General features: G+C 40.4%; 2 long non-coding RNA genes across 2 annotated transcripts in view; both read left to right on the forward strand.

Moving 5' to 3' along the window:
• Nucleotides 1-27,554, forward strand: part of IGFBP7-AS1 (IGFBP7 antisense RNA 1) — a 95,538-nt gene that overhangs the window by 10,073 nt on the left and 57,911 nt on the right. The gene's annotated exons all lie outside the window — the stretch shown is intronic.
• LOC107986283 (uncharacterized) lies at nucleotides 12,506-21,361 on the forward strand. Its single transcript, XR_001741705.1, has 3 exons — nucleotides 12,506-13,165; nucleotides 20,317-20,402; nucleotides 20,525-21,361. It is a non-coding gene; the product is annotated as an uncharacterized LOC107986283 (long non-coding RNA).

Below are 27,554 nucleotides of genomic sequence, written 5' to 3' on the forward strand. Positions count from 1 at the left end.
ATTCTCCATTTTAGCTTTACTGCACTGTATATAACCACCAGATCTCAAGGACAATGATAGCTTTAAAAACTGATTTGCCATTGCCGTATCTCCAGCACTCAGCTCAATAGGTGCATGAGTGAATGAATGAATGAATGATTTCTCTGCACATCTTCCACTGATTAGCTCTCTGTTGCCTAAGACATCTCAGTTACCATTCATTCTTCAGACTTTGTTTTTTATTCCTTTCTTCTCTTATTCCAGTTTCTAGCACTTGTTAGCTATATGACCTTGGGTAAGTGACTAAACCTCTTTGTGCCTCAGTTTTATCTGTAACATGGAGTAATAGTATTACCCATCTCATGAGGTTGTGGGGAGATTGAATGGAGCAGTGCTTGGCACATAATAAACCCTCAATAAATATGATGATTGAATTATTTCCTGTGCTTTCCTTGATGTTTTCACAGGATTATTAACCATGATTTTGTTAAAATTGACTAATAGAATAGAATAATTACTTGTTGCAACTTCTCTTGCTCTCTTGCTAAATTGAGGAGAATTATATAGTTTTATTTTCCTTTTCCTTTGCTCCTCCACTTGATCCCTCCCATATTTTTGGAGGGACTCAGGCTTTTGGGTGGGGAGGTGGTGAGTAGTTCCTCCTAGGGCTGAATTACTTTGCAGGTAACACTTGGAATATTAGAGATACCTAATGTTGGACTTAAGTTTGAAAGTCTTTCAATAGTTTTATAAGGTCAAAACAAACTTTTTTAAAGCAACCCTACGTGAACACTGATAAAGTTAAAATGATGACTGAGAAAAAGTGGTGTCAACTTAAATAACAGAGAGATGCCGTCTAAAAGAAATAATATTTACTTGGGAACAGGCATTGCAATAGGAATACATGTGCCAATAGGAATACATGTGAACTATGTGTGTATTCAGGAAGGTAAAAGAAGACAATGGCTTTTAAAGGAAAATGAGAGGGTTGCATAGTTGTTTTGAGATAATTATCCTGGGTTATAAGGATCAATAACAAGGGTGGTGCCGGTTCAAGGTTGGACAAATCTTCTGGGCAGATGTCCTTGCCGAAGTATTGTTTTTATATAAGATTGTGATGGTCTTTGTGCAAGGTTGTGGTTTTTGCTGAATCTTTAGTGATAGTTCTTGTTATTAGGCGTTTGTGTGTGATAACCTTCTTTTCATGGCCTTCCCTGGCTTCTTTTGTTAGGGTTTTTAACACAAGCGTCTCCATTTTGATTCCAACAACTTTCACAGTGGAAACTTGTATGTGTAGGGCTGGTCATTCCAGCCCAACTTGCAAAGACTTTCAAGCTGGACCTCTGTGCATCCGCTAATGGGGAGTCTGTGGGAGGATAGTACCTCTTGAAGAGTGCAGCCTCCTGTGTGCCCATGGGGTTCTTCGTGAAGAGTTTCATGGTTGCTGCTTCAGAACTACTGAGATTTGGGAATTCTCCTTTCTTGTTCTTTTAAAATAAGCAATAAGTCAAAGGGGTTTTTGACTGCCCTTTTTTTTTTTTCTGGGGGAGAGTCTTGCTATGTCACCCAGGCTGGAGTGCAATGGCACGATCTCAGCTCACTGCAACCTCCACCTCCTGGGGTTCAAGCGATTCTCCTGCCTCAGCCTCCTGAGTAGCTGTTTACAGGTGCATGCCACCATGTCTGGCTACTTTTTGTATTTTTAGTAGAGACGCGGTTTTATCATGTTGGCCAGGCTGGCCTTGGCCAGGAGGCCTTGGCCTCCCAAAGTGCTGGGATTACAGGTGTGAGCCACTGCACCCAGGCTTGACTGCTTTTTAAATTCTCAATCTCAAAGAATAATAAATAATATTTGAATAGTAACCATACTAGTTTTAGCCCTGTGTTGGTTAATTTTATGTGTCAACTTGATTGAGCTAAGAGATGCCCAGATAGCTGGTAAAGCTTTATTTCTGGGTGTCTATGGGGCTGTTTCTGGAAGAGATTAGCATTTGAATGAGTAGACTGAGTACAGAAGATCTTCCTCGCTAATATGGGTAGGCATCATCCAATCCCCTGAGGGATAAAATAGAACAAAGAGGCAGAAGAAAGGCAAATTCTCTTTTTCTCTGTCTTTGAGCTGGGATATCCATCTGGCCTTTGGACAATGGAGTGCCTAGTTTTTGGGCCTTTGGACTCTGGGACTTAAACTGATTACTGCACCCCCTTCCCACCTGCTGTCCAACCTCCTCCAGGTTCTCATACCTTCTGCTTCAGTTTTGCCATCAGCTCCCTCCCCTGGTCCTCTGGTCTTTGTACTCTGACTGCATTACGCCACCAGTTTTTCTGGGTCTCTTGCTTGCAGACAGCATATCATGGGACTTCTTGGCCTCCATAATCACATGAGCCAATTGTCCTAATAAGCCAATTGTCCTCTTTATCTCTATCTCTATCTCTGTCTTATCTCCAACTATATCTCTCTTATTGGTTCTATTTCTTTGGCAAACCCTGACTAATCCAAGCCCTCTGATGATGAGACACATTTTTTGTTTTTCAAAAGTAGTTCTGGTCCTTCACTTTAAAGGGCAAAGTGGACCTATGTCCACTTTGGTTCTGCTCACAAACAGGGGTTGATTCCAAGGGGCTGGAGTAGGGCTGTTTTATCCATCTTTATTATCTTCCATGGAGCAGAAGTGATGGCAGTTATCAATATCCAGTCTGCATTTAATCACCCCATTTGAAGCAGGTTTATGGCAAGTCTGCCTTTGCTCTATAGGAACAACAGTAAACAGCTGACTGGCCCAATTTTTTGGAAGATGAGTGTCTCCTACGAATCTCACAAGCATTGCATGTTCTACCTGTTGCAATATTCGTCTTTTTGGAAAAAGTGCCTGCAGATTTCAATGTAACTTGCTTAATATTCATAGATTCTTACTCTCTTCTCTTCCAGGAAAATATTGTTAATTTTAAGGTGAGTATCAGGGAGGTTGTAGGAATTTGATCAAGCAGAACCATGATAAGAAAAGCCAACAGATGCTTTGGAAATTCCTTATAATTCTGGCCTTAATAATGGAAGGAATGACAGTTTTATTAGTTTTCTATTGTTGCTTAACAAATCACTACAAAGTTTTCAGCTTGTAGGCTTGACTGGGTTCTCTGCCTAGGCTGAAATGAAAGTGTGGGCTGGGTTGGGCTTTTATTTGGTGGCTCTGGGAAGAATTCACTTCTAAGATCATTCAGGTTTTTGGCAGAATTCAGTTCCTTGTGGTTGTAGGACTGAGTTCCCTGCTTCCTTGCTGGATGTTGTTGGACAGCTCTCTGGTCCTCCTTGCACATGGCCCCTCCATCTTCAAAGCCAGCAATATGGCATATTCAGTCTTTCTAGTGCTTCAGATCTCTCTGACTTCCTCTTCTGCTACTACCCAGAGAAAATTGTGCTTTCAAAGGGTTCATGTGATTAGAGAAGACTTACTTGGATCATTTCCCTTTTGATGAATTCAGAGTCTACTGATCAGTAATAATGTAATTATTTTTGCAAAATCCCGTTTGCCAGGTAATGTAACATAGCCACAGACATGATATCACATCCTATTCCTAGTCCTGGAGATTAGGGCAGGAAATCTTGGGTGGTCAGTTTAGAGTTCTGCCCACCACAGTTGTCAAATATTGTTTTCTCAAACTAACTCTTTGCTGAAACTGAGCTCTGGGATTTCCCTTGCTTGTTTTTGTTTGCCTGTGAACCATACAGTTGGTTATGCTATATATCTTTTTTTTTTTTTTTTTGAGAAAGAATTTCATTCTGTCACCAAGGCTAGGGTGTAGTGGCATGATCTTGGCTCATTGCAATGCCCACCTCCTGGGCTCACGTGATCCTCCTGCCTCAGCCTCCCAAGTAGCTGGGACTACAGGTGTATATTACCATGCCCAGCTAATTTTTTGTAGAGACCTGTTTTTGGCATGTTGCCCAGGCTGGTCTTGAACTCCTGGACTCAAGCAATTCACCCACCTCAGACTCCCACAGTGCTGGGATTATAGGTGTGAGCCACCACACCTGGCCTATATCTTATCAATGGAATTGTATTCTCTGGCTCAAACAAGATGCCATTCTCCAGGGCACTTATTCCTGGGGTTCATCTATTGGTTTTGGACTTTGAGGTTTGGTGTCCTCCTTGCACATGGCCCCTCCATCTTCAAAGCCAGCAATGGCATATTCAGTCTTTCTAGTGCTTCAGATTTCTCTGACGTCCTCTTCTGTTACTACCCAGAGAAAACTTTGCTTCAAAGGGTTCATGTGATTAGAGTAGGCTCACTTGGATTGTTTCCCTTTTGATTAACTCAAAGTCTAATGGTCAGTAATAATTTAATTATTTTGACAAAATAATGATTTTAAAATAGAATTATTTTAATTTAACCAAAGCACCAAAGCACCATTTTTGCTTGGACCACACAAGGGAGAGATAAGAGAAGCAGAAAGCAGCCAACACAACCTTGGCTAGCTTCCAAACCTGTGTCTTTTAGTGTTACAAGTACATATAGAATTGCTGCTGTATTCACAGACCAACAATTATCTCATTAAATAACTTCCCAAGCCTTGATTTAGCCATTATGAAAGATGTTTTGATAAAGAACATCTGGTGTTGTTTTCAATTAAATATTGCACCACTAAACTTTGATTAAAAACTGATTTAAAATTTTAATAGTCCCTCCTTTAGAAGATGGCAAAATGCAAAAAAGAAAAATGTCACTCATTTAAATTGTTTTTTTCTCTCCTTTGTTGCTCTATTTTAACTGGATTCCCATTAATGACTGTTTAAAACCCACACAATTTTGGATGCAGTAAATAGAGATACATAAATAAGATTACCATACCAATACTGCTGTTCTCACTCTTTTACTACTGATACTTCATTTTGTTTTTATGCTTTAATTAAATTGAGTATATTTTATGTTTCAGTTTGCTTTAAAACAACGGCAGTGCACATAATTGACACTATTTCATCCCATGATAGAAAGTGCTGAATTGAATTAAACATACCAGTTCCATTTCCCTTTACATTTAATCTGTGGCAAAACTAAGGCAGAAATAATATGAACTATATTTCTTCTCCAAGTTGCCGTGGTAGGTGAAAATAACTAACCATCTAATAATTACTAATAAAGGCTGAAATGAAATCTTTACTGTTAGTGTAACTCTTATCTATATAAAAATAGATATTTAGTGGTATAAGCTAATTTTACTTAGTAATTTTCCCCAAGTGGCATGTAACAAATAATAAACACATAATTGCTATTCCATGTACTCCATATCAAGCATAAATCTTCAAGCACAAATTTTAATATATTTTTACTCAGACTATCAGGTTTAGCCTAAGTATTTATAGTAGGGAAATGATATTATGCAATGTTTCTATAGAATAGGGATTGATGAACTTTTGTAAAGGGCCAGATAGTAGATATTTTCAACTTTTTGTGGGCCATACTATCTCACAACTACATAACTCAGCTGTTACAATATGAATACAGCCATAGACGATATGTAAACAAATGAGTATAGCTGTGTTCCATAAAATTTTATTTACAAAAACTGGTGATGGGCCAGGTTTGACCTGTGGGCTGTGGTTTAATAGGCTGACCCCTATTATTGAGGATAATGACCAAGTGCTAGCTAATGTTCACAGCTGAGAAAAATCAATAGGTCAGTTCATGAATTAAGGTCCCGCATATACTTTTGTTATCGTAGGTATTTTTTTGTTTTTCTTGCAATAGTTTGTCTTAATTTAATCTGTTGATTCCCATGTGGGAATTTCCTCCCCAATCTTGTATTTTAAAATAGGGACCTATGCTCATCCACATTTCCGCAAGTCTAAATTAAGTCATCATATAATTACCGTGATTAAAATTACCTATCTTCTCTTCTGCAGTGGTTCAGGCAACAATTGTAACATGTTTATCTTACACAAACTTGGATTAAGTCAGGCCAGACTTTGCAAGCTCTTGGCTTCATACCATTTGATATGATTTTTCTCTGCATCCCCACCCAAATTTCATCTCGAGTTGTGATCCTTGGTGTTGGAGGAGGGGCCTTGTGGGAGGTGATTGGATCATGGGAGTGGATTCCCCCGATGCTGTTCTTGTGATAGTGAGTTCTCAAGAGCTGATAGTATAAAAGTATGTGGCACTTACCCTTTTGATCTCTCCTACCACCATGTGAAGGTGTTTGCTTCCTCTTCTGCTATGATTGTAAGTTTCCTGAGGCTCCCAGTCATGCTTCCTGTGAAGCCTGAGGAATTGTGAGTCAATGAAATCTCTTTTCTTTATAAATTACCCAGTCTTAGGTAGTTCTTTATAGCAGTGTGAAAATGGACTAATACACCACTGCACTCTGTTGCCCAGGCTGGAGTGCAGTGGTGCCATCATCACTCACTGCAGCCTTGAACTCCTGGGCTGAGGTGATTCTCCCACATCAGCCTCCCAAGTAGCTGCAGCTATGGGTATGCACCATGATGCCTGGCTAATTTTTAAATTTTTTGTAGAGATGGGGGGGTCTATCTATGTTGCCCAGACTGGTCTTGAACTCCTAGCCTCAAGTGACCTTGGCCTCCCAAAGTGTGAGGATTATGGGTATGAGCTATGGTGCCAGCCCCCATTGTATTTTAGATATCATTTTGGTTTTGGGAGGCAAGAGGGTCAAGTACAGTGATACGGTTTGGCTGTGTCTCCACCCAAATGTCACCTTGAATTGTAATAATCCCCACATGTCAAGGGTGGGGCCAGGTGAAGATCAATGAATCATGGGTGTGGTTTCTCTCATACTGTTCTCATGTTAGTGAATAAGTCTCATGAGATCTGATGGTTTTATAAATGGGAGTTCCCCTGCACAAGCTCTCTTGCCTGCCACCATCTAAGATGCACCTTTGCTTCTCCCTTATCTTCTGCCGTGATTGTGAGGCCTCCTCAGCCATGCTGAACTGTGAATTCATTAAACCTCTTTTCTTCATAAATTACCCAGTCCCAGATATGTCTTTATTAGCAGCATGAGAACAAACTAATACAGTAATTGGTACTGGTAGAGTGGGGTGCTGCTGTAAAGATACCTGAAAATGTGGAAGTGACTTTGATACTGGGTAACAGGCAGAGGTTGGAACAGTTTGGAGGGCTCAGAAGAGGATAGGAAGATGTGGGAAAGTTTTAAACTTCCTAGAGACTTTTGAATGGCTTTGGCCAAAATGCTGATAGTGATATGGACAATGAAGTCCAGGTTGAGGTGGTCTCAGATGGAGATGACAAACTGTTGGGAAATGGAACAAAGGTGACTGTTGCCATGTTTTAACAAAGAGACTGATGGCATTTTGCCCCTGCCCTAGAGATCTGCGGAAATTTGAATTTGAGAGAGATGATTTAGGGTATCTGGCAAATGAAATTTCTAAGCAGCAAAGTGTTCAAGAGGTGACTTGGGTGCTGTTAAAAGCATTCAGCTTTATGTATTCACAAAGATATGGTTTGGAATTGGAACTTATGTTTAAAAGGGAAGAAGAGCAGAAAATGTGCAGCCTAATGATGTGGTAGAAAAGAAAAACCCATTTTCTGAGGAGAAATTCAAGCTGGCTCTAGAAATATACGTAAGTAATGAGGAGCCAAATGTTAACTGCCAAGACAATGGGGAAAATGTCTACAGGGGATGTCAGAGGTCTTCATGGCATCCCCTCCCATCACAGGTCCAGAGGCTAAGGAGGAAAAAATGGTTTCCTGGGCTGGGCCCAGTGCCTTGCTGCTTTGTGCAATCTTGGGACTTGGTGCCCTATGTCCCAGCCAGGGCTAAAAGGGGCCACCGTAAAGGTCAGGCTGCTGCTTTAGAGGGTACAAGCCCCAAGCTTTGGTGGCTCACACGTGGGGTTGGGCCTGTGGGTGCACAGAAGTCAAGAATTGAGGTTTGGGAAATACTGCCTGGATTTCAGAGGATGTATGGAAATACCTGAATGTCCAGGCAGAGGTGTGCTGCAGGGGCAAAGCCCTCATTTAGAACCTCTGCTAGGGCAGTGCAGAAAGGAAATATGGGGTGTGAGCTCCCACACAGAGTCCCCACTGGGGCACTGCCTAGTGGAGCTGTAAGAAGAGGGCCATCATCCTCCAGATCCCAGAATGGTAGATACATTGACAGTTTGCACTGTGTGCCTGAAAAAGCCACAGACACTCAATGCCAGCCTGCGAAAACAGCCAGGAGCGGGGCTGTACCCCTCAAAGCCACAGGGTAGAAGCTGCTCAAGACCATGAGAACCCACCTTTTTCATTGGTGTGACCTGGATCTGAGACATGGAGTTCAAAGGAGATCATTTTGGAGCTTTAAGATTTAACTGCCCTGCTGGATTTTGGACTTGTATGGGGCCTATAGCCCCTTAATTTTGGCAAATTTCTCCCATTTGGAATGGGTGCATTTATCCAACGCCTGTACCCCAATTGTATCTAGGAAGTAACTTACTTGCTTTTGATTTTACAGGCTCCTAGGCGGAAGGGACTTGCCTTATCTCAGATGAGACTGTGGACTTTTGAGTTAATGCTGAAATGAGTTAAGACTTTGGGGAACTGCTGGGAAGGCATGATTGGTTTTGAAATGTGAGGACATGAGATTTTGGAGGGGCCAGGGGTGGAATGATGTGGTTTGGCTCTGTGTCCCCCCCAAAATCTTACCTTGAATTGTCAAGAGAAGGGCCAGGTGGAGATAATTGAATCATGGGGGTGGTTTCCCTCATACTGTTCTCATGGTAGTGAATACGTTTCATGAGATCTGATGGTTTTATAAATGGGAGTTCCCTTGCACAAGCTCTCTTGCCTGCTACCATGTAAGATGTGCCTTTGCTTCTCCTTTGTCTTCTGCCATGATTGTGAGGCCTCCCCAGACATGCTGAACTGTGGGTCCAATAAACCTCTTTCCTTTATAAATTACCATGTCTTGGGTATGTCTTTATTAGCAGCATGAGAACAGACTAATACACACAGTGAGAAAGTCAAGAAGCATTTCTTTAATGGACTTTGAAAACTAGATACTATGATTTTGCCAATAAGCAGGAAAGACATTTTTCTTTCTTTTTGATTTTGTGCATGATGGTTGTTTTCCATATACAAAATGTAGTATATGCCTGTCTCACATTCATGTCATATTCGCATAGTGACTTTGCCACCCATAGCTTTCTATAGGTGCAGTATTTGTATTCAAGAACAGTTACTGACTTCCACATCAATTGCTTTGTAGCGGAATAGCTGCCTCCTGGTCTATAGTGGCTGACATGAATTCACTTTTTAAGGGGGCTATTGCCTCAATAAAAAGTTAGAATCTGGAGATGTTGATTTGCAGAGGAGTGTACACACCTGGCCTGCCAAACAACTTTCATCATATGAATAGGCTGAGGTGGCTTACACAAAAACAAAAAAAAAGGACCTCTTTTTCTTAAAGCACTAATATTTTGTTGTGTAGGCAACATTGCCTTACATGTTTAAAACATATTGTTTTTGGGAGGAATTAATAATATGTATTATTGGGTTGTTGGGAGGAATTAATAATATGTATACATAATTTTATTGAGGGTTTATTATGTACCTGGAATTTTGCACATGTTTTCTCTAATCTTTACAATAATCATATGCAGTAGGAATTACTGGCACTTTACTTGCACAGAAAGGAAGCCTTAACTGACTTGTGGAAGATGGCAAAGGTGGTAAAGAGGAGTTGGGATTCCTGCTTAGGCCTCTTTGGAAGCAAAGCTCTTGTCTGTCTTTCTCTTATGATACTTTCTGTTTTTTTAGGAGACAGGGTCTTGCTCTGTTGTCCAGGCTGGAGTGTAGTGGCACAATCATAGCTCACAGTATCCTTGAATTCCTGGGCTCAAGCAATCCTCCTGTTTCAGCCTCTTGTGTAGCTAGGACCACAGGTGTGTGCCACTCACCTGATGGGGTCTTGCTACGTTGCCCAGGCTGGTCTCAAACTCCTAGCCTCAAGTGATCCTCCTGCTTCTGACTCCCAAAATGCTGGGATTACAGGTGTGAGCCATCATACCCAGACAGATATGTTTTGATATAGCTCCAGGCCAGTGGTTCTCAAAGCCTGGGCCCCACCCTGGAGTAATTTATTTACAATATCTAGGGCAGGATCTGGGTGTGTAGATATATTTATAGATTTTATTTTTTAGAGCAGTTTTAAGTTCTCAGCAAGATTGAGCAGCAAGTACAGAGAGTACTTATATACCCTCTTCCCCACACAGGCATTAGCCTCCTCTGCATTTATAGAAAGCTATGAGTGGCAAAGGCACTATGATGATGGCAATATGACATGAATGTGGGCCAGGCATATATTATATTTTTCATCCCCCAGCAAAGTGGTACATTTGTTAGAATTGATGAACCTCCATCGACACATCATTATCACTCAGAATCCATAGTTTACATTAGGGTCCACTCTTGGTGTTTTATATTCTATGGGCTTGGGAAAATATATAATGACATGTATGCACCATTATAGTATCATACAAACTCTTTCCACTGCCCTAAAAATGCCCTGTGCCTGCTTATTTATCTTTCCTTCCCCACTAACCCCTGGCAACTGCTAATCCGTTTTGCTGTCTCCATAGTTTTTCCTTTTCCTGAATATTACAGAGTTGGAATCACAGCACATGTACCTTTACAGGTTGGCTTCTTTCACTTAGCAGTATGCATTTAAGGTTTCTCTCAGGATGTGGAGAGTTTTAAAAAGCACCCCAGGGAATGTTAACATGCAGCCAGTTTTGTGAACCACTGGTCTCAGGGGTGAAATCTAGAAACAGCCAGCATTTAGGTAAAGACTGGGCTTCTCCTTGCCGCTAAGAGGGCAAAGTTGATCTTCATCGCCCTTGCTGTGTTTCCCCATGTTGCTGAGCTGCCCAGTGGCCTTCAGCAGGAAGTCATACCCTCGCTAGGAACACAGCTCGTCATGGCCTCTTGTACCTGGAATGGGTGTCAGATTCTGGCCCCATTCTTGTAAATAAATCTCTGGGTTATCCCTGCTAAGGATCTTTGGGTGGCATTTTATTATCTGATTCTTACCTTTCTCTTGCAAAGAAGCCTGGAGCAAGTCCTTAGCAGAGGTTGAACCAAGGTGTTTCCGACTTTGGGAAAAGGAGTGGTTAATTTAGAATGACAGGATCTGGGAATGAGATGAAATCTGAGTTGAATTCTGAAATAAGGCTATAACATCTATAGCATGACAGTGGGGTAGGGCTGTTTGGGATGAGGCTTTCTGGAAAGGAGGGAACAGTTTGAGACAAGATCTGAAGCAGGGAAGACAGGGTGACTTAACAAAAATGTGAGTGCCTATCAGAGCCAGGGGTTTTGAGTAGCCCACAGGAATGGGGTAGTGATGTGTTGTACATGCACTTGCGGGAGATAACTCTGCAAAGGCTGATGAGTCCTCTCTGAGGCATGTTTTAGTGTCTTCTTCACCTGTAGATCCCTGGAGACTCACCACCTCTCATAACCTTTGGAAAGGGTAGCTTCTGACTCTTCTTCCTTGACATGGCAGATTGGACCAAGGCTGAATGCTAGAACTAGTTTTCAGTTTAGTTTTAGCATTCAGCCTTGGTTCAATTTCTGTATTTGTTGGTTCAGATGCCCAGGGGAGATCATCTAGCTGGCAAGAGAACCAATCAGATGGTCTCATGTGAGCATTTGAACCAACAAATATAGAAATTTCATAGTAGAGGGCCCTGATTGTGAACCATCATGCATTTAATAAGTGCTGATTATCTGCCTCATGCTGTTCTAGGGCCTATTGATACAGGGATGTACAAGGCAAAGTCCTTCTTTCACAGACATTAGGTTTAAATGGGAAAATGCACAAGTAAATAAATAAGAAAATGTCAGGTCATAACAAAGGCAATGGATGAAACAGGGTCCTTTGACCGAGTGTAATCAGGAGAAACAGATGTCATCAAATGGTGGGCTTGGGGGGAGATCAGAGAAGACCCTTGAAAGAATGTGACAGGGATTAATAGATATGGAGTCCAAGGCAAAAATTAGGAAAAGAGTTGACTAGAGCATGTGTGTCTCATGACAGAACTAGAGTTGGGGGGAGCTTTGTGGTCCCTCGAGATTTAGGGAGCCACAGGTGATTCCTGGTTAATTTTTGGTTCCTTTGAGCCATTTCCTCCCTTGCATTCTTTTAATAACATCTCTACACACACACACATACACACATACACACACACACACGCACCTACACACACCCTCTCCTGAGCTCGCTTAAGTGGATCTTGCATCTTGCATGCCAAAGTGCTTAAAAACAGGGATAAATTGAGGAAGATTCTGAATGGTAGTCTGTGGTTTTGGACTTTGTTCTGTCTCAGAAAGGGCTTTTGAGCGCTATAGAGTGTCTTTATGCAGTGGTGTCAGGGAGAACACATTCCTTTTTCGAGGATGGAAAGCTACTGATTGTACTGAAGCTCGCATTCCTCTGCCAACTGCTGGAACAGGAAAAACAACCATCATCCTGACTGCCAGCAGTCTGGCCAGACACCACCTGTTCTCAGTGCCTGTGTGGGGTGTTTAGCTTAGCTAGGCAGCTCCAACAGCACCTGGAATGCAAAAACATCCTGAATTTCTCCAAACACCACAGCAGGACTGTTTAAACAGCAAGACATTCAGGAAATAGTCATTATCTCCACACCTCCTGCATTCAATAGGGTGGATTGTTGGATGAGCTTCAGAGGGCAGCTCCAGTGAGTGCCAAGTCCTCCCGGACCAGATCTCCCATCCACATGCATGTGCCACCTGTGGGCCAATGGGTCTGGGCTTCTCAGGTTATTGGAGAGGAAGTTGGGCTTGATTCTGTCTCCCTGTGTGGAGTCCTTTCTGTATACCAAATGAACTGTCAGCATCAGCACAAAAAATGGGTGCAGACTTGTGCAGGGAAGAGGAAGACTGCTGCTGTTGCACATATTTTCTATAGGGAGCATTTTGGACTATTATTAGGGGGAAAAGGTGGAGGTGGGTGGGCGAGTCTCATCTGTCTCATTTGCCTTGGGATAGAGAAAGGATGTACTGGTAGTCATCAGCCAGTGTCTTCCTTCCCTTCATTTGCCCCATTTTTTTCCCCATATTTGGCAGGAGTCCAAAGCAAACCATTGATGATCAAGCACTGGATGACAGCAGTTTGGTCTGGTTAATATTCTCATCAAGGAATGAGGTTGGTAATTAACAACTATATGAGACTTCCAAAATACTTTCATTTTACAACTGCCTATTGTAACCCTCTAGTGTACCCTGATGTGCATACCTGTTCTTTTGCGGTTTTAAAACTTTACTGAAAAGCCAAACACTTTATTCAAGTGAATTTTACAGATCTGGATTAGGAAGCAGATCAACTGAGCTTCTTCCTAGGAAGAAGCTAAAAGATGCTGGAATAAATCAGAAATATGGCACTTTTAAAACTCAGGTTTCCACCTACTATTATTTTAAAAAGCATCAAAATGTATATCATTTTTGGTCCTAATGAAGTAGAGCCCCTTATGTGAAAATAAAAACAAAAGCAAAACACTCTTCGATGGTGGGGGCCAATTTGGTCTGAATGTTTTGATGACTCCAGCATGCCTGCAGTTCATTTGGCCCCAACCAGTCCCAGCAAGGTAGCTGACAGAGGCCTGAAGTTGGCAGTTGCAGTCAGCTGAAATTCTGAAACCCAGCAACACATCACTTAGTCCCACTTACTGAGAAAAAATGATTTACTCTATCATATGCACTGTAATCCCTTAATGCCTCCCAAAATGTATCTGGTTTGGAAAATCTCACACAACCTGGATAATAACACATATTTCAGAAAAGAGAATGTTTTGTTAACAAGAAAGGCAAAACAAAACACAGTAAAATCACCCTGAAAAAGCCATGTAAGCTGCTTCTATTCCTAGTGACTCTGAGGGACTTGGTATAACGGAACAGTGCTTTGTAGCTAGGAAAAATGGAAAATCAGTGAAATGGAAGACAATTGCAAATAAGTCAAAATATTATGTTAATGATAAGTGTATGTAATTGTCTCTTGTTCTGAACATAAAGGAGAAGGTATATATTTTTTTTCAAGTGAAGTTAGTTGGTTTCTCCCTACTCTCACTAAAAATGTGTTGAGTCAATATTTGAAGAATTGGCACAAACCATTAGCCAGCCCAGAGAACCCATGTGCCTCAGTGAGTCTGATAAGGTGGTATCCCAATATACGTCAAATAAGAGTAAGGCCTCTCTGACTGAAGAGGAAGGCTGGAGACCCACAGCTTCGCCCCTTGCTAGCTGCTTTTGAGTATCTTCTGTGAAGCAACTTGCAAACCATGGCTCTACTGGATCATTGTTTGATGACTCCTAATCTTTATTTCTTTTTCTGTCTTCACCAGTCTACTCTCACTCCATTTTTGTCTTTTCTACCACCCCTAAGCTGGTGTTTTCCAAAGCTAGTGCTCACAGCAGTGCTGGTCCCTGATGAAGTTCACACTACTATCTGAAGAGTGGTGGAAGAAAGGCACAATTTAGTGAGTTTTTGCAAAGCCAAATTGTTCTATTTAAGACTTTTTTTTCATTATGAGATAATATCTGCTTATTTTTTGGTTGTTAAAATGTTCTTTTTTAATGAAATGATGAGAATAGCAGATTTTTAAAAATTCTTTTTTTTGGGCAAAATAGAAAATTACTAGCCCTATATTAGTCCCCAGGTTTTTTTTTTTTAATTAAAATCACACTTTTTGGGTAAAATTCCAAAATCTAGGCATCATTATTTTAAGGTACATTTAAAAAATTTAATGGATACATAATATTTTACATATTTATGGGGTGATATTTTGTTACATGCATAGAAAGTGTAATGATAAGTCTGGGTATTTGGTGTATCCATCACCTTGAATATTTATCATTTCTTTTTTTTTTTTTTTTTTTTTTTGAGATGGAGGCTGGAGTGCAGTGGCATGATCTCAGCTCACTGCAACCTCCACCTCCTGGGTTCAAGTGATTCTTGTGCCTCAGCCTCCCAAGTAGCTGGGATTACAGGCGTGTGCCACCATACTCAGCTAATTTTTGTATTTTTAGTAGAGATGGGATTTTACCTGTTTGCCAGGCTGGTCTTGAACTCCTGGCTTCAAGTGATCTGACCGACTTGGACTCCCAAAGTGCTGGGACTATAGGCGTGAGCCACTGTGCCTGACCAGTATTTATCATTTCTGTGTGTTGGTAATATTTCAAGTTATCTCTTCCAGCTATTTTGAAATATACACCTTGTTGCTAACTATAGTCACTCCACTTTGCTATCAAATATTATAACTTTTAACTTCTATAGAACTGTAAGTTTGTACCCATTAACTAAACTCTCTTTATCCCTCCTCACCCCCACATAACCTTCTCAGTCTCTGGTACCTATTATTCTACTCTCTACTTCCATGAGATCAACTTTTTTTAGCTCCCAGGTATGAGTGAGAACGTGTGATATTTGTCTTTCTGTGCCTGGCTTATTCCATTTAACATAATGACCTCCAGTTCCATCCAAGTTGCTGCAAATGACATGATTTCATTCTTTTTATGGCTGAATGGAACTCCATCGCGAATATACCACGTTTTCTTTTCTTTCTTTTTTTTTTTTTTTTTTTTTGAGACGGAGTCTCGCTCTGTCGCCCAGGCCGGACTGCGGACTGCAGTGGCGCAATCTCGGCTCACTGCAAGCTCCGCTTCCCGGGTTCACGCCATTCTCCTGCCTCAGCCTCCCGAGTAGCTGGGACTACAGGCGCCCGCCACCGTGCCCGGCTAATTTTTTGTATTTTTAGTAGAGACGGGGTTTCACCTTGTTAGCCAGGATGGTCTCGATCTCCTGACCTCATGATCCACCCGCCTCGGCCTCCCAAAGTGCTGGGATTACAGGCGTGAGCCACCGCGCCCGGCCATATACCACGTTTTCTTTCTTTAGTTTAAAAATGAAAGCAAATTTGTTAAGAAAGTAAAGAAATAAAAGAATGGCTACCCCATACGCAGAGCAGTAGCATGGGCTGCTAGACTGAGTATACTTGTAGTTATTTCTTGATTGCATGCTAAACAAGGGGTGGATTATTCACCAGTTTTTAAGGAAAGGGGTGGAGATTTCCTGGAATGAGGGTTCCTCCATTTTTTTAAAGACTATATAGGGTAACTTCTGGACGTTGCTATTGCATTTGTAAACTGTCATGGCGCTGGTGGGAGTGCCTTTTAGCATTGCTAACGCATTCATAATAAGCATATAATGGCTGGGTGTGGTGGCTCATACCTGTAATTCCAGCACGTTGGGAGGCCCAGGCAGGTAGATTGCTTGAGGCCAGGAGTTCGATACCAGCCTGGCCAACATGGAGAAACCCTGTCTCTATTAAAAATACAAAAAATTAGCCAAACATGTGGTGTGCACCTGGATTCCCAACTACTTGGCTGAGGCACGAGAATTGCTTGAACCCAGGAGGTGGAGGCTGCAGTGAGCTGAGATCATGCCACTGCACTCCAGCCTGGGCAACACAGTGAGACTCTGTCTCAAAAGAAAAAATAGCATATAATGAGCAGTGAGAATGGCTAGAGGTCACTTTCATTGCCATCTTGGTTTTGGTGGGTTTTAGCCAGCTTCTTTACCACATCCTATTTTATCAGCAGGGTTTTTGTAAGCTGTATCCTGTGATACCAGTCCTGTCCACCTCTTATTTCATCTGTGACTAAGAATGCCTAACCTCCTAGGAATGCAGCAGCTCTTAGCCTTTTTTATCCAGCCCCTATTCAAGATGGAGTCACTGCCTCTGACATATTTCCCCCCTTCCTTTTACAAGGGAACCCTCAATCCTAAGGGTTGTAGAGGGATGAAAACTCATCTTCTGTAACTTCTTCAGGCTAAATAGGGGCAATGATAATCCTGCCTAACTATTAGGGTATTTGTATCTAGGACAGAGAAGAACTCAATCAGAAAGTGTCAATATGCTGAGGGTCATTCATAACTCTGAGTTCCAACAAAAGGTGATATCTGGAAGATTAATAAGTGTTCAATTTAAGAAAATGTTGAGTAAGCTTATCCTACATTCCTACAAAGGGTACAACAGCAATATATGCCACAACAGCAAAGCAAAATAAGTAAAATTATCCCAAGTAAACTAAATAGCTTTCCATGAACTGGGCAATTGTGGGAACCAAGCTGATATGGAGTTGCTAGCTGGTTCCAGTGTGTGCCAGAATTAGAATACTGATCTAGATTTTTACATTACCCATCCCTTTTGTTTCTTCTGAGCTGCAGCCAGAGATCACTGGTTGATTCACAGGAATAATCAGGGTTAGTCTAAATTGCAGGAAAAAACTTAAAAACAACTGATGAGATTAGAATCTAATAACAAGTGTACCATGGTTTTTGAAACATACTTTTTCTCTTCCCAGTTCTCATTTTGATTAAAAACAAATCATGATAGCACTGAATTGTTTGCAAAATAAGCTTTAGTCTTAGACTTGGCCTGATTATTTATATAAAGTGTAGGAAGAATAACTATTTTTCACATAGACTTTTTAAGTTGGCCCTGATGGAACTCTGTTCCATAAGGAATCTCAGATAAGCCTTTTTTTTTTTTTAAAGCCTTGAGCCCAGCCATGGCTTTGTGCCATTAAATACCTATATGAGTTGGGTACATTCCTCTCTCTTGAGGTCTCCAGACAACTTGGGGCTCCTAAGTCTGTCAGGAAGTGACATTCTTTACTTACCACAGGTCAGGAACTCTGTACAGGGACTGTGTAGACAAAGAATGAGACCAGTTTTCTCAAGGGGCTTTTATTGGCTCTATAAGTCAACTTTGATTCTTTAAACAAGTCTGTCTGTACCTGAAAGCATACCATTCCAGTAAAAGCCTTAATAAAATAATCAGCATTTCCAATTGTGTCCTGTTACAAAAGAAAACAGATCATTATTACACCTATGCAAATAACGATATTGCTATAAATTAAGAATACTTACAAATAGGCCAGGCATGGTGGCTCATACCTATAATCCCAGCATTTTGGGAGGCTGAGGTGGGCAGATCACTTGAGATCAGGAGTTCGAGACCAGGCTGGCTAACATGGCTAAAAATACAAAAATTAGCCTGGTGTGGTGGCGGGCACCTGTAATTCCAGCTACTTGGGAGGCTGAGGCAAGAGAATGGCTTGAACCTGGGAGGTGGAGATTGCAGTGAGCCAAGATCATGCCACTGCACTCCAGCCTGGGTGGCAGAGCAAGACTCTGTCTCAAGAAACTAAAAAAAAAAAAAAAAAAAGGAATACTTTACAAATAGTTTCCAGATTCTGGAGAAATCAGGTAGAGAGAAACAAATACGCTTCCAATTTTGTTTATAGAAGTATACTTTACTCAATTGTTAAAAGCTGTAAATAGCTCAAAAGAAAACTTTTCTTCTCTCTGAAAACAAAACAAAGAATCAGTAACATTTTAAGCAAAAAATTATAAAGGGATTATTTCAGTCTTCTATTAGTTAAGTTCATGCAGTTAACCTCCGTTCTGCTTGATATTCATGAACATTTCAGCTTTCCATGAGAGTCCTGAAAGATTTTTCTCTATTCTAATGTCACAATCTCCAAAGTTATCAGAAACCTGCATTCAAGAGCACCTGTCAGAGTCCCATAGCTGATTATAAAACTGCCTTTTAAAGAGGATCAAAACAAGATAACAATTGTCTGTGGATGACAAAGTCTTAGGGCAGCCACTATTAAAGCCACAATTGACTAGAAATTTTGGTTACTTCTTTGGCATACAACAACTTTACATAACAATTATAATTGTAAATAATGTACACTAAGTCAGAATTATAGGAGTTTCCCATAATTTTGGAATATATACCAATAGCATATTTAATGAATACAGACCAAAGAAAGCCAAACACCATTTTATATTTGACAATGCTTCTTTTATGATTTTATACCAAATAAACCAAAAATAGTAAGTCATTTTTGGACTTTAGGGGACTTAATATCTAAAAGATTATTTATTTGGTCAGAAAAAGACATAATTTACAATATGATTTTGGAAAGTTTGTCAAATATCAAAGGTTTAGAAGACTTGGTACTATAAAATAGAATTTCAGGTCACTGTAAGTCATTCATTTAGCCAAAATGATAACTCAACAATTTTAAAAAGGCAATAACCTTTACTCATTATTAGAGAAAAGACTTAGCTTTCCAAACAATCTCTTTTCTTTCCTTTCTTTTTCCTATAGTTTATTTAAAAGGCAAATAAAATCTTTTATTATTTTTAATATTACATGAAAATTTTGTTCAAGAGAAAAAGGGGGATGTTTCCATACCTTCCAGGTGGCCAAGAGCACGTGTCTCTGATCTAAAAGTGCAAAGAGCTGAGTATTCCCCCATAACTGCTATTAATATCAGCCATCTTCAAAAGTATATTTCCTACCTACTTATTACACACCAAAACTCTCTCATAATATGAAGTAATTCCTGATACTCTCCAAAGCTGAAGACGTCAGATAATGCAATGCAAAACAGAACAGAGCCTTAGATTTTGAGAGGGATCTATCCACTTTCAATTCCTGGGGTTTCATGAGGAAAATGGTGTTTTCCTCCCCGGCAGAGTCTGTGGTGCCTCTTCTGTTTTTCCCAAGGAGTTTCAGGCTGTTAGAAATTATCTTTGGATAATTTCTCTCATGTGTGCATCAACAGTGGCAAGAAGACAAAATGGAGAAAAACAATTAAGTCAGCTGAGAAGAGAAAAACTTTTTCTTCAGAAAAATAAGATCCAGTAAGAGAAAAAAACATAAAGGCCTTTAAAATATATGTATAGCATGTATATTGCTTTTAATTTAGCTGACTTTTAACCAAATATCTTATTACCAAAGTCTATCCAGAATAAACAGCAAGTATTTCTGGCTTTTGAACTTTACCAAAGGTAACCTCCCAGGTGCTCAGAGAAAGGAAAACCCAAGACAGGAAGTCAGAAGTTGTATATGGAGGGGAAGAGGATCAGTAAATGGCAAAGGTCACACAAATATCAACCAGAAAGTTCTCATTCCTAGGCTGAAAATGGAACCTGGGCTGCCATTGTGAAAAGACAAAGCCTTAGCTCCTAAGCTACAACATTGGGCAGTTTCCTCTGCCCTGCCCAGAAGGACTCTAGAGGCAGCCAATTTTGAGCCTGCAAAGGCTTTTAACTGCTCAAGAGAATTTTTAGAGCTATGACATGAATTCCAAAATTCCTGTCTCTGAATTTTGGCAGAGACCAAGAGCAAGTACTGCCATGTGGTTATGAGGACAAGCTCCTAAGGACATAAGACAAGATGAGAGGGAAATATCATCTAATTTTTTGTTTGTTTGTTTCAGGGAAGCAAAATTTGGTAACTGACCAGTTTGCTGGGATGGCTTGGACAGTGGACTTATGGGATCCTAGGCCTGTGTTCTATCCTAAGGTACCCCTCCTTATGACAGAATGATACAGAAAGACAAATTCATAGCATAAAGTCCACCGGATTTGTTACAGTCTAACACTAGACTCACAGATTATTTTTTCCCATTGTTCAAAACGTTGCAGAGGAGGTGAACAGTGATTTCTTTACCATTCACCCAACCAGTTTGCACAGAGAGCGAGGCCAGAAACCTGACTGGTAAGAAATTCTTACCCTTTTGCTGGCATGCTAGATTTCTGGGTTCCCTTTTCCTCAGCACCTGTAGTGACCCTTTTTGCCACATTATAGTCCTGGGTGCCAAGCCGCAACACAAAGGAAAATCATCTTTTTCTGTTTCATAGAACCATAGGCAAAAGCCTATCAAGTTTGCAAGATGCCACCCAAGGGGTTGCATGGGTTAACCAAATTCACATTTCCCATTCTGGCCAGAGCAAAATACATGTGACAAAACACAGACATTAGCCACCCTGTTTAGCACCCAATATTGAACTGGTGAGGCTCAAACTTGCCCCGAGTTGGGCCCTGTTATCTTTAATCCATTCAAAGTGGGGTGGAATGACCTCTAACCAGGAGTTTCAAAATGTGGCCTCTGGGTAAGATGGAAGAGCAGATGGCCTCCTTGAGTAACAGAAAAGTTAGGAAAAGGAAAGGAGAGAAAGAGAGAGAGAAAAGCATTGCTTGCAGTGTGGTGAGGAAGGTGAGCAGCTCAGGGAGGCCAGAGAAAGACCCACTGTTACCCATTGCAGAGACGGTGAATCAAAAGTTCAGGCAGCTGCTTGTCAGTCACAAAGGTATCTTTTCCAGCAGCCCCATAAGCTCTCAAGTTTCTTCCTTTGTGGAGAGAAAAGCTCCCCATGTCCTGTGATCCTGTACTTGCCTAATTATGTCACCCATAGCCATCAGCAAAGAGAGTAAGGCAGATTAATTCAAAGAGAATAGTGGTTAACATCCCATAATGTCAAATCCATTTTTAACCAAGAGACTTTACTGAGGGGGACCTTTAACCCCCTAAATCTTAGGAAGGACTCTAACCTTCCTAAGTTGGGCCTTGAAACCAAGTTTGGTCAAGTGTCCTTGCCTTTTATTAAGAGGGGCCTTTAGCCCTCTCTGTCTTAGGAGGGATTCTAACCCTCCTAAATTGGGTCTCTAACCCAATCCCATCATTTACCCTGGTGAAATGTACCCGCCCTCTTACCCAAAGTCAGCCAATTGATACTGCAGTCCATTTCCTTTGAGTTGGGGGTCTTCTCACTATAGTCTCTTCATGGTTTTCCAGGAAGATGTTATGGGAAAGGGGTCCCAATCCAGACTGCAAGAGAGGGTTCTTGGACATCATGCAAGAAAGAATTCTGGGTGAGTTCATAGAGTAAAATGAAAGCAAGTTTATTAAGAAAGTAAAGGAATAAAAGAATGGCTACCCCATAGGCAGAGCAGCCTATACCACATTTTCTTTATCCATTCGTCCTCTTAGGTAGATTCCATATCTTCGCTATTGAGAACAGTGCTGAAATAAACATACGGGCACAGGTATACACTTGATATGCTGGTTTCTTTTCCTTTGGATAAATTCCCAAGAGTGGGATTGCTAGATCATGTGGTAGTTCTATTTTCAGTTTTTTGAGAAATCTTCATATTATTTTCCATAGTGGTGGGACTAATTTACATTCCCACCAATGATCTACAAATGTTCCCTTTTCTCTGCAGCCTCACCAGCATCTGTTATTCTATGTCTTTTCAGTAAGAGCCATTCTGACTGATGTGAGATGGCATCTCATTGTGGTTTTAATTTGCATTTCTCTGATTATTAGTGATGTTGAGCATTTTTTAATATATCTATTGGCCATTTGTATGTCTTTTTTTGCACAATGTCTATTCATGTTCTTTGCCCACTTTTTAATGGGATTATTATTATTTTACTGTTGAGTTTTTCGAGCTCCTTGTGTATCCTGGATATTAATCCCCTGTCAGATGAATAGTTTGCAAATATTTTCTCCCATTCAACAGGTTGTCCCTTTACTCTGTTGATTGTTTCTTTTGCTGCGCAGAAACTTTTTAGTTTAATATAGACCCATTTGTCTATTTTGTTTCTGTTGCCTGTGCTTTTGAGGTTTTAGCCATAAAATCTTTGCCTTCACCAAAGTCCTGAAGGGTTTCCTCTACGTTTTCTTCAAGTAGCTTTGTAGTTTTGAGTCTTACATTTAAGTCTTTAATCTCTCTTGAGTTGATTTTAAGTTTTTTTTTTAATTTTAAGTTTTGGTAGAGACAGGGTCTCGCTATGCTGCCCAGGCTAGTCTCAAGCTCCTGGGCTCAAGCAATCCTCCTGCCTCAGCCTCTCAAGGTGCTGGGATTACAGGCGTGAGCCACTGTGCCTGGCCTTGAGATGATCGTTGGATAAGATGAGAGATAGAGGTCTAGTTTCATTTTTCTGCATATGGATATTCAATTTTCCCAGAACCATTTATTGAAGAGACTGTCCTTCTCCTAATGTATGTTCTTGGTGCCTTTGTTAAAAACCAGCTGATTGTAAATACATGGATTTATATCTAGGTTATCTATTTTGTTCCATTGTTCTATGTGTCTGTTTTTATACCAATATCTTGCTGTTTTGGTTTCTATAGCCTTGTGATATATTTTGAAGTCAGGTAGTGTAATGCTTCTAGCTATGTTCCTTTTGTTCAGGATTGCTTTGGTTATTTGGGCTCCATATAAATTTCTTTTGGTTCCACATAAATTTTAGGATTATTTTTTCTGTTTTTGTGAAAAATGACTTTGGTATTTTCACAGAGATTGCATTGAATCTGTAGATTGCTTTGGGGAGCATGTTTATTTTAACAATATTAACTTCTAAAATTCATGAGCACCAGGTATCTTTCTATTTGTATCCTCTTCAATTTATCTCACTGGTGTTTTGTGGTTTTCTTTGTAAAGGTCTTTCACCTCCTTGGTTAAATTTATTCCTTGGTATTCTTTTGGTAGCTATGTAAATGAGATTCTTGATTTCCTTCTCAGCTAGATTGTTATTGGTGTATAGAAAGGCTACTGACTTTTATATATTGATTTTGTATCCTGAAACTTTACTGAATTTATTTATCAGATCTAAGAGTTTTTTGTTGGAATCTCTAGGTTTTTCCAGATATCTGATCATGTCATCTGCAAAGGGGGATAATTTGAGTTCCTCTTTACAAATTTGAATGCCCTTAATTTCTTTCTCTTGCTGGACTGCAATGGCTAGGACTTCCAGTACTGTGGTGAACAGGAGTGGTGAAAGCAGGTGATATGGTTTGGCTGTGTTCCCACCCAAATCTCATCTTGAATTGTAGCTCCCATAATCCCCACATGTTGTGGGAGGGACCTGGTGGGAGGTAATTGAACCATGGAGGTGAGTTTTCCCATGCTGTTCTTGTGACAGTAAGTTTCATGAAATCTGATGGTTTTACAAAAGACAGTTCCCCTGCACAACTCTCTTGCCTGCTGCCATGTAAGACACACCTTTGCTCCTCCTTCACCTCCACCATGGTGGTGAGTCCTCCCCAGCCATGTGGAACTGTGAGTCTATTAAACCTCTTTTTCTTTATAAATTACCAAGTCTGGGTAATTTAATATAGCCCCATATTAGTCTTCGTGAGAACAGACTAATACAGTGGGCATCCTTGTCTTGCTTCAGTTTTTAGAGGAAAGGCTTTCAGCTTTTCTCCATTCAGCATGATGTTAGTGGTGGATTTGTCATTTTTGGCCTTTATTATGTTGAGGTATGTTCCTTCCATGCCTAGTTTGTTGAGAGTTTTTATTATGAAGATATTTTAAATGTTATCAAATGCTTTTTCTGCATTGATTGAGATGATCATATGGTTTTTGTCCTTCTTCGATGCTCTACCCTTTCTCCTGTTCTCTAATGATGCACTACAGAAATGATCCTTGGAAGTACAGTCTTTTAAGGTACATTTTAAAGACCTTCTGTGTTTTATTGAAAAAAGGAAATATGCCTTTTTAATTATAATGTTATACATATTCATTAAAAGGATTTAGAAAATACAGATATGATAGAGTCTGTAACATTAAAAAGTATGAATGTGTAAGTAATCACACCTTTTCCCATTCCCTTCCCTGTCAAAGGAAGACAGGATCTAGTGTTCTGCTGAGAAAATGTGAGGTTGCAGAACTGTAAGGACAGAAAGACTGAAATAATTTTTAGTCAAAAGAGCCCAGAGCAATTGGAAGAACAGAACAGACCCCAAAGCAGAGAGCTGGGGTCAGATGGAGAGAAAGAAGGACAAAATTTTGTATGTATCCGCCTAGCTGTGCGCTGTGAAACTGAGAAGAAATATATATATATATATATGATTTTAAAGATGTTTTCACAAGTGTCATGCCATCTAGTAACTCTTCCCACTCTCTTCAAAAGAATTCCATAAAAATGTACATTGCTTTTTAATGTTTTCTTTTGGGTTTTGGATTCTTTTGAATGCAAAACTGTATTGTGACTCATCATGAAATACCCAGTTTTATTTGGGTTACAAAAAAAGAAAACATTAAAAATTCATAATTCCATCTTTAGACTCTACTAGGGTTTAAAACATGGTAAAGATAGTATGTATGCATATGTTTATTTATTTTTTTGAGATAGGGTCTCACTCTGTTACCCAGGCTGGAGAGCAGTGTCACGATCTCGGCTCACTGCAATCTCCGCCTCCGGACTCAGGTGATTCTCCCACCTCAGCCTCCTGAGTAGCTGGGACTACAGGTGTGTGCCACTGCACCTGGCTAATTTTTGTATTGTTTGTAGAGATGGGGTTTTACCATATTGCCCAGGCTGGTTTCAAACTTGTGGGCTCAAGTGATCCATCTGCCTCCCTTCCAAAAGGCTGGGATTACAGGCATGAGCCACCCTGCAAGGCCAAGAATTTTTTTTTTTTTTTTTTTTTTTTTTTTTTTTTTTTTTTTTTTAGAACATGGCTCACTGCAGCCTCGACCTCCTGGGTTTAAGCAGTCCTCCCATCTCAGCCTCCCAAGTAGCTGGAACTATAGGCATGCACCACCACATGGGCTAATTAGTGTTTTTTTTTTTTTTTTTTTTTTTTTTTGTGGAGATGGGTTTTCGCTTTATTTCCCAGGTTGCTCTTGAATTTGTGAGCTCAAGAGATCCTCCATCCTTGGCCCCCCAATGTGCTGGGGTTACAGGTGAGAGCCACCATACCTGGTCCATTTATTGTCTTTTATTCCTCTGAGGAGAGCACACACACAGAAAATACATCATGGTCTTTTCAAGCACGTAGAGCTTGCTAGCCACTGGCTTCTTCTCTTGATAATGGCTCTAATGTCATAATTAGCTTGGCCTCTTCTAGAATGTTCCTTTCTGATAAAGGCATTTTGGCTGTAGGAACTTGTGACCAATGCTGTAGGTGCAATCTCAGAGGACTTGAGACATCAAAACCTTTTGTTTCCTCTGTGAGAGAGAATTCTCTTCTGTGTAGAGAATTATTGATCAACCATCTTTAGTTTAAATGATTATGTGTAGCTGCTAGTTCTAAATAATACATGGATTCCCTTCTGTAATTCTCTATACATGCTTTCACCAAAATAAATAAATAAATGATGAAAACTATGGAAGACAAAATCCTACATTATTTTGAAACAACAAAGGCTAAAATAGGGGCAAAACCCCCTTCAAGTCCTTTCAAGAGGGTTGAAAGGAAACTTCCTTTCCTTCTGTTTGGACCTCAGGGGAGATTCTTATCGTTTCTGGAATCCCATGCCTGCTTATGTTTCCCAGATGTTCTTTCAGATAATTAATCCCTCCTCCAATTTATTCCTCCTCTTCTCCCTGCACCCAACAGAAATAGGTTGAAAATTCTTGCACCTTTTTGATAAGAGAGAATGGACATAAAAAGCATCTAATGACTAAAAATCCTCATATAAATGTTGTAGAATCATTTCAATTTTTAATAGAAGTGTACCTGTTAAAAAAGGACTAGAGAATCCACCAAATATCAGAGTCCCTTGGTCTTGCATTCCTTAGTTTCTTACTCTTTTTTCTTTGGTGATCACTGTACCTCCTTCCTTACCCTTTCTCTCTTGTCCATTTCTGGAGAGTTGCTCTTGACTTCCAGGAATTTCTTGGCATTTCTGAAAACCTAGTTCCCCTCGTCCCCTTCTTATCCCCATGGTGTCTGATATTACTTTTAATATCATCTTCAGTTATCTCTGTTGCATGTTGGTTCCATTAATATGTGCTGAATAGCTCCTTTTTGCCAGGCATGTCTCTTGGAACTGAAGATTGATGCAAAGATAAATTGAGATCATGGTCCCTGCCCTTGAAGGTAGGAGAAAGGAAAGCCCCACATTAATTCACTATGCAGAATCTGACTGAGATGTCAACAACCCACACTGTTATACAGATATGACGGCAGGTGGGGGAGCTGGGGAGGACACTTTTGTCTGCATGACTCTAAAGATCTGCCTGTTTCCCCTCCACTGTGCTGTCCTCCCTCAGCTATGGCTGGAAGGCTGAGAAACAAATCCACTACAGTTGGGGAAAAGGAACGACCACATTGTGAGCATCCGCTATGTGCCTGTCACTCTGGATATATCGTTTAAAGGATATAAAGTAGCCATTGAATTAGTGTCTGCACTTTCTACATGGAGGGAGGGTTGAGATGTTTTAATTAGGTGACCCAGATGCATATTTAGAGGCTGTGAGTGAGAACACAGAGGACAGGAAGCATTTATAGGGTGGCGGTTTAGGGTTAAAAAGTTCGTATTTCAAGATACAGCAGGAGGCAAAATGGACAAGGCCAAGGAAGAGTGGAAGTGGAAATACTATGTCTCAGAGAGCAAGGGGTATAGTATTTTTCCTGAGATAGGATTGAAGAAGGGGCAATGGATAAAGAGATACATTCAAAGATGGAGAGAAGAGCATTTGGAGAATCTATCCCCAGCAGGTTTTTACCAAAGCCAGTGGGTCCAATGATGAAGGTTACATTAGATCATTTCAAGGGTTTGGTGTCATAAAACACAAGAGACAAACTGTTTCTATTAGTAGTAGAAATGGGAAGGAGCAAAACAGATACACACTAAGTAGGTGGGATGCCAGCAGTTCAGTATTACCTTTATAATAGTTACATAAAACAAGCCAGGAAAGAAAGTTAGTGAATATGG

This window comes from Homo sapiens, chromosome 4, assembly GCF_000001405.40.
Source record: "Homo sapiens chromosome 4, GRCh38.p14 Primary Assembly".
Lineage (NCBI taxonomy): Eukaryota > Metazoa > Chordata > Mammalia > Primates > Hominidae > Homo > Homo sapiens.